This window comes from Homo sapiens, chromosome 3, assembly GCF_000001405.40.
Source record: "Homo sapiens chromosome 3, GRCh38.p14 Primary Assembly".
Lineage (NCBI taxonomy): Eukaryota > Metazoa > Chordata > Mammalia > Primates > Hominidae > Homo > Homo sapiens.
Genome location: NC_000003.12, coordinates 88,400,172 through 88,413,648, shown reverse-complemented (window position 1 = coordinate 88,413,648; position 13,477 = coordinate 88,400,172). Strand labels below are relative to the sequence as shown.

The 13,477-nt window shown below is 34.1% G+C and overlaps 1 protein-coding gene across 4 annotated transcripts in view; it reads right to left on the bottom strand.

The window, feature by feature from the left end:
- The window catches only part of CSNK2A2IP (casein kinase 2 subunit alpha' interacting protein), a 129,139-nt gene that overhangs the window by 53,946 nt on the left and 61,716 nt on the right, over window positions 1–13,477 (bottom strand). The gene's annotated exons all lie outside the window — the stretch shown is intronic.

Genomic DNA, 13,477 nt, shown 5'->3' with positions numbered 1-13,477 from the left:
ACATATGTAAGCATGCACACACACACATACACACACACATACTCAACTTTTGTCAAACCTTCCAAAAGTAGGCGTGAATGTACTTCTAAAAGTATATGTCACTCCTAAATACTTCAGCATGCATCTCCCAAGAAGGAAAATATTATTTCCAATGAAACCACATCATTACCACACCCAAGAATATTAACAATCATAGTATTATTTAATACACAGTTCATATACAAATTCTCCCAATCATCCTCAAAATGTTTTTTCAAGATTCAAGATTCAATTATGTATAGCATTTGAATCTTTAGTTCTCTTAGTGTATAAGAGTTACACCTTCTCCTAGGTCTTTCTTGATACTGACTCCTCTAAGGGTCCAGGTTAATCAGCCTATACACCATCCTGCTTTCCAGATATATCTGATGTTTTTTCAACATTAGATTCAGGTCAAACATACCTGACAAGAACACAACATAGGTGAGTAGGCATATTTCCCAATGCATTATATCATGAGTTTATGCCTACTGAATTAAAAATTAAATCAAAGTCACAGGAGGCAGATGGCATTAATATACTAATTCAACTTTCACTGGAAAAAATAAAAAACTTAGCAATAAAAAATTTAGCTTCTGAAAGCCAAAATAGGGATACCTACTTCTATCCATTAAAACTTACCATTAACCCTTGCACCATATCATGTGTGTGGCTGAAAAATGACAATTCATATATAGCCACGTGCTGCATAACATTTTAGGCAACAATGGACTGCATATATAACTGTGGTTCCAAAAAATTATAATTCTGTATTTTTACTGTATCTTTTCTATATTTAGATACAGAAATACCGGTGTGGTACTATCTCCTTACACTATTAAAAACAGTAACATGCTGTACAGATTTGTAGCCTAGGAGTAATAGGCTACACCTTATGCTCTAGGTATGTAATGTGCTCTGCCATCTAGGTGTGTGTTAGTACACTCAACGAAGTGCTCCTGACAATGAAAGCTCCTAACTACACATTTCTCAAAATGTATCTCTATCACATTTTGTCTAGTGGCACAAGACTGTGCTCCTATTCCCACTAACCACAAAAATTTCACAAATGTGTAGTTTAAAAAGTACATGTGAGTACCCAAGCATACTTAAATCACTCCCAATAACTGAAACTTATTACAAAACAGGAATGAAGAAAAGCAATGTACTCTGCCAAGGAGAGAGAGATCAGGTTTGATACAGTCACAAGAATGGGATGAGCCTCTCCTTGTCCAGGGAAGAAATAAAGGTCCAGAAGAATGATCCCAATGCTATCCACTGCAGAGAATTTAGTAGAAGGCCTTTCCCCTCCATGGAAGGCAAGAGGAGCTGCTGTGGAAACATTGTGAACTGCTGCTTTTTAATTTTACTCATGATGGATTCTTAAAATATACACATAGAAACCCACAAAGTCAGTAATTTTATATAGTCAAAGCTATAAATATATTATATTTATTCCTTTTCCCTAGTACTGATAAAACTATTACCCCTTCAAAAATAAAGTGAGTACCTATCATAGTTGTTTATGACTTATTTTTCACACCAAACTCTCCTAATTCATTTCAAATTTATTTTTATATGTAGGGCATATTATATTACCCTTTCTCTTGGGGTATTCTTCTAACAGTGTTGTCAAATAGAAATACAATGCAAGCCACATAAGTAAGTTCAAACTTTCTAGTCAGCACATTTTAAAAAGTAAAGAGAAACAGGTGAAATTGATTTTAATGACATTTTTATTCAAGCTGACCTTTCTAAAATATTTTCTTATTATATGTTGAAATATATTTAATAATATAAAATAAAATATTAATTAGATATTTCACATGTTTATAATATTTGAAATCTGTAATGTATTTCTCACAAAACATCTCAATTCAGACACTAAATTTTCATCAGCAGTATTTAGCATATATTTAGATTTAATAAATGTACCACTGAAAAAGTAGATACCCATATCTAAGTTGTTTCAAACAAACTTAAAAATTTTTCACAAACTGAATTATCAGCTTTAAAATTAAACTTAAATGAATTAAATAACTTTTTTCTACAAAATCCGTATCTGTTTAGTTGCTGATTTAGTGGCTGAGCAGAGATTCAATTAGGTGAGAATCTTTAAAATACTACCATATATTTAATGCAATAAACTTATAATCCAAGCTTATAAGATCTTATTCATTATGTAGGTAGATGAGGCAGAGACAGGTCAGTTAGATGGATGGATGGATAGATAGATAGATAGATAGATAGACAGATAGATAGATAGATAGATAGATAGATGATAGATAGAGTGAGTGAGCTAAATTTATGGTAAATTTTATGTCACTTGTAGACACTGTAGAATGTCTCAATTAGGAAGAAACAAGATGGCCTCCATTGCTTCAAAATTAGAAGAAAACAGATTTGTTCTATGCCCACAAACAACTATACCTTGAAAATGCATTTTAATTTAATCACATTCTTTGATGTTCTCATTAGTGTTAATAAAGAAGAAAATGTTATTCTAATCAAGATAAAGTTATTTTCATATTCACTTTACAATGACTAATATAAAATTCAACTGTATTTATAAGGAAATTTACAGTGCATACTTAATTTAAAGGTAAAAAGCTAATTATCCCACACTACAACACAAACATTTGTAATTTTAAATACCAAATATTTCTTACTCAATCAGCAGTTAAAATGAGAAATCACTTTATATTTTGGTGACAACATTAACATTGTATTCAATTGGTGTTTGTTTTGCTTCCGCTCTCTATATATATAACAAAAGTCTTTACTTTAAAGAGTAATTTTGGATACCCAACATCAAGTTTTTATCATCAGAATTCATACAATAAACCACCACTGTGATAAGAACTCACTGTGAAGTTGATTTCTTGTCATTAGAGCAAGGAAGTAATCAAATGGCACCATTTAACAATCGTTAAATTCATATTGGATTTCATGTTACAATAATGAGAATAGAAACTAGAATAAGAAAAAGATGACTAAACTTTAGGAGATTATTTATATTTAACCTGAAAAGACAAGTTTTAAAGATAATAACCAAAGTCTATAATCTTATAAACAATCATTTTGAAGATTTGTTGAACCATTGTCAATCAGATGACCACAAAAGATAAGCTGCTTTAAAAGACTTCCGTGGCAGGAGAGCTTCCGGAGTGGATGAGTGGTTCACACGGCAACAAATGAGAAAAAGAAGCCAGAAGTTTCAGAGATCTTTATAAACATATGAGTCCCAGTGATCTCAAGCATGAATGCAGGTTGTCACATACCTTAAGGAACAGACTCTTTCTATGAATAGCTATAGAAATAAATCACTCTATAAAAAAAGCTCTCCCAATTTTGGAAATATGTGGAGGTGGGTCATCTTCAGGATATTCTAAGCTTTGGGATTTGATTAAAGTTATCGCCCCATGTAGTTTTCATGATTTCATGCACAGAGCCTTCTTTTTGAGCTCAGTGAGCCACATTTTCCTGTAAAATAAAATGAAACCCCCATATGTTTTTAGTCATTTTGTAACAAAATTTGGAATCTTTCTATTGAAGACTTCAGAGTTTTCTGATGTATTGATTTAGTCCAGCTAGGATTTCTCAGCTACTGTTGGGTGAAAGGTCTCTTGTAACACACAATGATCCTAATTCAGGCACAGACAATGGCCTTAGAGTAGTTAAAAATATGTCACCCTGATGCATTTGTTACGGAAGTTAAATACTATCATTGCTTTCATAACTGTTCCTGTAGTAAAGCATAATTTGAGTTTTTATTGTTTCATTTTACAAGTCACCAATAAAATAAATCATATATATCCTGATAGAAAATTAAAGACAATATCACTGACTTTACTAGGAGACGGAGCAAAAATAGAAATAGAAAAGAATCTGAAGAAAACAAAATAAACAAAATGATCTTGTGACTAAATAACTTGCTTCTTAAATCATATCCAACTCACAAATAGTACTGTGCATGTGTGCTATAATTTGTCCTAAGAATATTTTTTGTCCCTATACATTCTGTTAAATAAACTATTTTTTTCTATTTGCCTCACTCTCTATAATTTGATTCTCAGAGAATTAAGAAAAAATATTCTATTTACAGCAAAATTTTCTTCTGTACCTGATCACCTAGACATTTTCCCCCCAAACTTTGAAGAAAGAAATCATTTTCGCATGTAACAGAGGCAGCTGGTTTAACAGGGAATGCTATCATGGCTTAGCCCATCCTGATTCTGGGCAGCTAATTTGAATAGCTAGGTAAATTCTGCAAGCAGCCTCTTCCATTTTCTCAGAAAATGTGAGGAAGCTTGGAATAGGACAGAAGACAGAACAGAGGACAGAACAGAAGTAGGGAAAGAGAAGCAAAAACGGAAATAGAAAGTAACTGCTGAGGCATGGCTAATCAGAAAGGACACTTCATGCATATTATAGACCCATTGTGATAATAAAATTGGAATCAAATTGCCTACACAAACCACTTGAGACACTCTGCATCTTTAATTTTTAAAATTATGAAGACACTTGACACCGAAGGGGATCAATTATCACTAGTTTTCGTGCAAATACTTACTTAAGCAATGCTGTGGGTCAGAGTCAGTAGGAAAATTGCAGGCTTGCAGCCACGTAATAGCAACTAATTACACTATTCCTGGGCCCCTTTTCAATGGTCTCAGTTGGCAATAGTGGTCGTGGCTGACTTATTTTGATTAAATTTCAAGGAGTCTAAAGTTATGATAAATGTGTGTATTTGTTAAAACTGGTTTGGATCATGAAATCACCAAAAAAAAAACATTAAAACAAAAGGGAATCCCCCAGTTAACTTGTTAGGTACTCAAATCCTTGAGATGCACAGTGTGGTGCCATTTAATAATGGAATAGAGGTTTTCAGTATGGCATAGAAGCAGCTCCCAGATCACAGTGGCCCCCCTTTCAATGGGCAATCTTGAACATATACATTTAGAAAGATGGGAATTTATACTGCTCCACGCTATATGGGACAGTTAATAGAGTACTTTATGTTAATAAAGTAAATGGAATGCTTTACTTTCTGTTAGTAACAGTTTTGAGAGCCTGGTCAGGCACTGGCTTTATTCTGAATTGTCAAGCCTACTTCAAGTTTTCTTTTTTATTATACTAAGGTTAATCAGCTACTTTAATAGAAACATCTCTACTCTCCTTTTTGGTTCCACCCCACAAAGTATTGAGAGATAAATATTATCTCCATAACAAAAAGTCTATCAACAAAACAGCTAGTCTAATAGACAAGGAGACTGAACTTCATTTTTGAGTTCAGGAAAACAAACCATTAGAAACTAAATGAGGGTTGTCAGACTTGCGGTAACAATAAAAATAAACAAACCTCATTTATTGCCTCTATTGCCTTCATCTCCTTTACTCTGTCACCTTTATGAAAACTGCCTAAGTAGACATGACATTGAACACTGAGCATTTCTTCCTGTCTTACTTCTATTTCTTTTCTCTGGGCAATTTGCCCTTAATAAGTGAATTAAGTACTGGTGAATTAATTTATTTCTGTTCAACTGAATATACTGCTTTATTGTATATTTTAAAATTAATTTATTACATATAAAAATAAATTGATTGCAGCCAGGCACAGTGGCTTATGCCTGTAATCCTAGCACTTTGGGAGGTCAAGGTGGGTGGATCACCTGAGCTAAGGAGTTCAAGACCAGCCTGGCCAACATGGTGAAACCCGTCTCTATTAAAAATACAAAAATTAGCCAGACATCATGGCAGGTGTCTGTAATCCCAGCTACTCGGGAGGCTGAGATGGGAGAATTACTTGAACCTGGGAGGCGGAGGTTGCAGTGAGCCGAGATCGCGCCACTGCACTCCACCCTGGGTGGCTGAGCAAGACTCCATTTCAAATAAATAAATAAATAAATAAATAAATAGATTGCACACTATTTTCTTCAATCTCTTCCAAAGAATGTCACCTTTACAGTAAATAAAGCTTTGCTTGTGAAAGAAGCTCTAAGCCATTTAAAAAAGTAAAATGTGTGTTCTCAGCCTATATGGCCACCTGTCACCACTTGCCTGGAGGGTAGGCATGACACACTGACCTCCATTAGATGCAGTGACTATGATTCCAAAAGTGAAAAGAGGTTATTTTCAGCGCTACATATGCCGCCAAGAAGCTGACATTTTGATGTCCACTCCTCATTTTGCTAGCTTGAATCTACTAGCATAATATTGTTTTGTATCAATCCATAAAAACATAAAAACATATTCACACATTTAACATACTAAATGTTACAAGATATGCATGAATATGCATTCAGACCCTCCCTCTCCTTTTTTTTTTTTTTTTTTTTGGACTTTTCTGAAGATTTTATTTCTTTCTAAAACATATATTAGGAAAAGAATATTTGCACAATGCCAGGTAATACCTGGTACATGATAGAGTAAGTAATTCCACTCTGGCGCCCCCAAATCCGCAAAGAGTCTGAGGAGGTAGGATTGAAAAGCTCCTGTTTTCTATTGATACTGAGCCAATATGGTTAGTAGAAGAAGAAGTTTTCTTTCTTCTCTCTGCTTTGTGGTCTACTTGAGGGTGGGAGGCTGTTAGCAGTGTGATAGGAACTAACAGCATTACATGCTACAAAAAGCAATTGCCTGGGCAATTTTCCTAAGCCAGAGCCAAAGCAAAGCAAATGGAATACTCCCCCTCACCTCCGTGTCGGCCACATGAGAGTGGGGCTACACCGTGATATCCACAGGGCAAATTCCATGGCAGAATCTGGATTCTGTGGCCAATTGTATGGCTACATCGGTCTGCCGCAAGAATGGAATTTAAATATTGAATACTACGTACATTTTTTTTCTTTCCAGAGACCAACAAAAATAAAGAATTTTAACTACACAGGTGCATTTGCTTCATTTCATTGAAAGAAAACACCTTCTAGCCAAAGAAAGATACACAATTTTATTTGGAAACACTAGTATCATGTTGTGGTATTTTAATATGAAGTCCAATGTAACAGTCGCCAAAAATCCCAACTTAAAATCATTCAATCAGTGTTATACCCTTTAGCTGAAATAGGAACAAAGCATTCCCTAAGATCTGATCATTGAATGTTGAGTGTTTCTTCCCCCGCTTTAGAATGTTATTTATTTCTAAAAATTATCTCCTCACTTCTAGAGAGATAAGAGAAAAACGAAATGAAAAAGCTCAACTGCCAGCTAAGGCTTTTATAGATAACATTTAAAGCAACTGCGCTTCCCGTAGCCCATGCCTAAAAATATAACTGAATTGTACTCATTGAATTCTAAAGGTTCAAAGTACATATAACCATTATGCATTAAGAAAGTAACTACCTGCCCTTAACTTTCTTATTTTGCTTCTAGTTTTGGATAAAATTTTATTGTTTCAATTTCAATTTCAAAGCAACATAATCATGATAGCCATTTATTTTGGTTTTTAATATAAAATTAGCATTTTTATATCTTGAAATCATTCAGGTTTATTTTCTTCTATTTGAATTGTTTATATATAATACAAAAGCATAGGCTAGAGTTGACCAATGAGGTTAGTTAAAAGATTATATATTTTTTATTTTATGAAATTATAGAGTCTTAAAACCAGAAGATAATCTTAGTGATTATCTAATATAGCTCCACTCATTTTTTTTTAGATGAAAAAAACTTAGGTTCTGAGGAAATGAATGATTTACTTAGAATCACAAGGCTAGTACATGGCAAAGTTGATACTAGAATGCTTAGACTTTTCATCCTAAAATATTTTTGTTCTGCAAGCTCCCTAATGGAATAAAGAATGAAACAGAGTGCTAATCACGTAATAGGCAAGTGGGGGCCTAGGACAAATCAGGGAAAAGTGAAATAAAGGAAAAGTGCCTTAAAATGGTTGTTTTGGTCAGGGTTCCAACAGGAAATATACGACATGCTCAAATTGAAATAATTGGAAGAGAGTTTAATAAATGCACTACTTATCAAGGTAGGGCAGGGTATAAAGAAATCACAAGAGATATTGCTAGAGTCCAGGGCTAGAAATCACTAAGCTATTATTATTCCTAGGCCTAACCCAAAGAAGATAATAGGGTTTCTGAAAGCCAAAGAGAGGGCTCTGTAGAGAACTCTACTTTGACAAGCTTTCTGACTTTTGATCAAGACGCAGAGTTAACATGAGGTGATCCTACAGGGAAGGAGGCAGGGGAATGAACTCAATGACCTTTTTCCCCTTCCTCTGATCTCCTGTAGCAAACATCCTGCCTAAGCTCACCGGAGGTTAAAAGAACCTCTTGATACACAGATCAGTCTCCCTGAATAAGTAGCAGGGTGAAGGGCAAAGCATAGATCCTGTTAAAGAAAAAATTATTCAGGACATATTAAAGATGATAAGACCAACTTTATTCAAAGAGTTGGGGGAACATGGTGATAGGTATAGAGACCACTGCAATGAGATTTTGCATTGCGGGAAAGAGATTGGACTCGACTCCAAATACAGCATGGGCAAGTGGAATTTATAGTGAAAGAACTGGGTGGGGGTCATGGATGGAAAATTACTAAGAGGAAACATCAAGGTAAAGGTGGATTCTAGCTAAACCAACCTAGCAGGACTCTTGTTGAAAGTAGGTTAGGTCAATCAAACGTCACCTAAAGAATGGTGGAGGATGAAGAGCCTGATCAGATATTGAGGGTGATCCAAATATCAGGAACAGGGGGTTCTTATTAAACTGACTTAGCAAGGTTCTTGCTAAAACTGGATTTTAGAAAGAAGTAAACAGATAGACTGGTAGAAGGTTCAGAAGCTTTAAGAAACTTTAGTCACACAAAGAATTTTTTTCAATCTAAAGGAATAAATGAAGGCAGAGAGCGGTGATGTTTGGACAAAGGAAGAAATAGAACAAAAGTTCGAAGAGAAAAAGACATCAACTTAAGAATTAGGGGCAAATAAGTATTAACACAGCACAAGAGGAAGTACAACTCAGAATGATGGAGTTGTATGGATAATAATAGGTTATAAAGTCGTGTTTCTAGAAAGAGAGAAACAAAGAGTAAATGGAGAGGAAAAGGAAAGACTGAGGCTTAAAGAGGGAAGGTTGAAGGACTGAGGTGTTAAACAGATTAAAGTTTAAATTAAAAAGTACTATTTTCATGTAAACTTATTCCAATTGGGCCTGGGCTAGAGGAAGAGTTTTCTTGGACAGCACTGATCTAACATGTAACATATATATTGTATTAACCATATAAGCTGCTTGTGAATATTGAGGATTTTCTTATTACCGCAGTCTCTGAAATGTATTCACTTTTAATCTGAAATCCTTTTATTTTGCGGGGTTGGCACAGGAAAATTTTGCAGCATTTCCATTGGTGTTAAGTTATCTGACTTTCCCAACATTTCACTGTGTTTCTGTGTTGACTCTGTCTACTAGCAGCCCCACACCTTTCCTGGACAATTGTCTATGGGCTTCTTCCCCAAAACTATCTGTTACACATGGTGTGCACATTCTAAACCATCCCTCCTTCAACTTTTTTTTTTTCTGATATTGCTGTTGCTTGTTTCTAGCTACTTAAACATTCATTTCTTCCAAAGAGACCCTCAAGTTATATGCAAACCAAGAAAAGAAATATACCAAGTATGTGGAACTTGTCTCCCCCTATTATCAGAAAAGAATTGAATCTACTTCCATCTGCTAGAAGACTTCATGTATGTCTCAGCCCTTGTGTCATACCCAGCAGCCCTCCCTTTTCACCAGCAAGTATCAATTTCCAGATTTCTTTGCCAAAGCATTGACTTCTTTCACTAGGACATTAACGAAACTCCAAATGAAATAATTTCGTTTAAAACAATTTAGAATTATGCTATCATTTGCCTACAGTTCTTATATTCTTTGAAATTTCATTGATCCCTCTAAGCCTGAGCTCCTTAACCTAGAAAAAGTAAATAACAGCTTCTTTATCATAGGTTGCTAAAATCATACAAGATAATGCATGTAAAGTGCTGATCACAGTGCTGCAAATAATAAAAGCTCTTTAAATGTTAACTATTGTTATTATTGCTTTCTAAATGGCTGTCTGTGATGGGCTGATGATTTATTGTGAAAGATGGTAATGAAGCAAGCTAAGGGGTCAAGGCTGCTCTACCAAGGATGAAAATAAAAGAACAAAGCTGCCCCATTACAATCCCTTGGTATCAATGAGTAAGATATTCTCTAATGACAAGCTGGTCTTTTTCTCAGAAATGGAACATATTTATCTCCATAAATCAAATTAGCCAGTCTAGAATAAAGTTACATTTTTCAATGGTGACCTTACTTTTCTAGAATTTGTATTTAATGAATCATATTTGGGGGCATTTAATTTAATCTTGAACAAAAAACCTAATAAAAATATTGCAGAGCCTAGTTTTATAGGTATTTTTAAATACTTGAGAAATAGTTTTGCAAATGGATCACCAAAATGATGGCCTTGGAAAGCCTTCCTGTGCTATAAGCATACAATCTAGGTAAGAATATAGGTAAATTGTCTGAAGTGAAAAATATGATTCTGAGACTGAACTAGGATTGACAGAACCACAAAAAATAAGCCAAATTAAAACCACTATAGATTATGCATGAGATCATTAGGACATAGGGTTAAATAATTAAAGATGGCCCTTTAATTTTAAATTGGTTTGAATTTGAAAATATGCAGAAGCAATCTCACAAACACCTTGTACCCACCACTCAGATTTAATAAACATTTTAATATATTTTCTTTAGATAATTGTGAGAAGACATCAAAAAATGAAGGTTTGATCAAAGTCCTTTTTGAGCAACCTAATTGATTCTATTCCGTGCAATCATCCCCCTTACATTCTGGATATAATCACTGTTCTGAAGTTGAACTGCACACTTCCCATCCTTGTTTTTATACTCTTTATGTACAAATATATGGTATACTCTTTACGTGCAAATATATATGTGTGTGTCTACACATAGCATATATTATTTTATGTTTCCAAATTTGAAATAACAGGTAACATATTGTATAAATTCTTAAGAGATTGCCTTTTTCTCTCAACATTTTTGTATTGATTTTCTTTATTCATTGTGACTGCTGTATATAAACATATCCAATTTTAGTAATAGACATTTAGGTTGTTTCTAGGTTTTTACCATAAACAACAATGTAATATTGAATAGTTCTGCATATTTTCTTGTGCACATATGCAAGAGTTTTTCTGAAGTAAATCCTGAAGCACTTAGAATCAGAATGCTGGATCCTGGTCAATTTAAGTAGATATTGCCAAATTGCTCTCAAAACTTGCATCAATTTATACAACCACTACCAACATATAAGGGTTCCCTTTATTCTATATTCTCACAAGCACATGGTGCTGCCAGAATTTTCTAAATGTTCATTGTTTTGGTGAACATAAAATCAAATAACATTGTTTAGATTTTATTTAAAAGCCAAAGTTACAATAAATTTTCAAATAAATGTCTTCCAAGCAGTCAGTTACTGGGTTATGAATGTGATGTAGCTTGCCAAATTTCCATTTAACCCATTTTGTACCTATGTGGAATGTTATGATGTATGATATCTACAAGCTGCCAAAAGAATGGCAAAAAAAAAAAAAAGACATAGCAGATTGCCCCTCTTTCAAAAGCAAGGAAAGACAGTTCCCCCATCCCATTTTTCTCATGGCCAAAAGTAACCAAACACTCAAAAAGAGCTCACTTAATAAATCAGATTTTTAAGCTAATTTACACTTTCATAAATATTAGCTTCCTTGGAAATCCTTCTGTTTGCTTCTTCATTCTCTCCTGCTCTCCCACATATCCTTTTTTTCCCTGTGTTCTTCTTTTTTCCTTCTTAAGAAAAGCCCATTTAAATATACTCAGTTGCAAAGTTGGACTAGTTAGCTACTTAAGACATGGCAAAGATTATAACTTCCCACTGAGATTTTGCAAGTGAGTCTTTTTCATTAATAGAGCAGCAGGATTTGAGGATTTTATTAACTCTCCATTTAGAGCCTGATAATCCTAATAAACCTATCTTTCTCCTAAAAGACTTGCTTTATCTACTCATTCATATTTCCATGGTAGTAGCAGCACAACTTGTTCCGAATTAAATTTTCTGCAAGGGGTATCTTAGCTTCTAAGGTTAGTCCCTAGAAGGTAAGTTTTTGTTTTATAATTTAATGAAAATTTCTATAAGATACCATACACTTGCTGCATGAACTGAAGACTATTAACTAACAGGCTTCTGTTTCATTGTTATTGTTGCTATTCAAATAATCATAGGTTATGTATGCATATGGTCATAATTTTATCTAAATAATGATAGTTCCCCAGAGTTAATCTTATTTTGAAAATTATAAAGAAGACATAAGATCTTGTGAAATTATCAGAATTAATTCTTTAAGTAAGCAGTCTATATTATTATTCATTTTATAAGGCCTTATATTTGACTTTTGTGAATTATGTTTTAATGACTGCTCAAAAAACAAAGAACAATAGTCTTAAATGCTTTGCCTAATATTTGAAGACAAATTATATACTGCTCAATAACATATGATAACTTCATATCATTTTTTGTCATAAAAAATTGCATGTATTTCAAGGCCTTAACCTAAATAACCTAACTCAACCTATTTATACTAATTCATCTTCTGTTATTCTTCTACACACACCCTACATCTCAGTCAAATTTCTTACTGATTCCTTAACTTCTATTCATCACATTGTTCCATGCTTTTCTCCCTCTGCATCATGAACCATACTATCTTTATATGAACACTTTTACATTAGTTTCTTGTTGCTTATATAACAATGTGCCACAAATTTAGTGTCTTAGGATAACACAAATTTATTATCTTCCATTTTTGTAGGCTAGAAGTCTAACACAGGTTTCACTGGGCTAAAATCAACGTGTATTTAGAGCTGTGCTCCTTTTTCAGCTTCTAAGGGCCACCTATAATTCCTAGTTTGTGGTTCCATTCTGTCATCGTCAAAGCCTTCAATGTTACAGCTTGCTGACCATTCTTCCGTAGTCATATCTCCCTGTCTCTTACCACACTAGAAAATGATCTCCAATTTTAAAGACCTATACAATTAGATTAGGTCCACTATGATAATCCATGATAATCTTATCTCAAGGTTCTTAATGTAATCACACCTGCAAAGTTCCTTTTGCCATGTATGATAATATACTCATGGGTTTGAGAAATTAGCACATGGAAACCTTTGCGGGCCATGATTCTGCCTACCACCCCTTTCTCCTGTTCCTCCCACCTACCAAAATTTCCCGCAGCATTAGATTATGTAGTGGGTGGCTCAAACTAAAAAGGATCATTCAGCTCAACCTTCCATTTTAGAAGTAAGGCCACCAGTCTCATTACTGGCAGGGAGTCAATTCTTGGCAAATATTTGTTAAATACTGAATGAAATAACTTGCCCTTCTCTGCCTGGCTCAGAAACTAACATTTCTC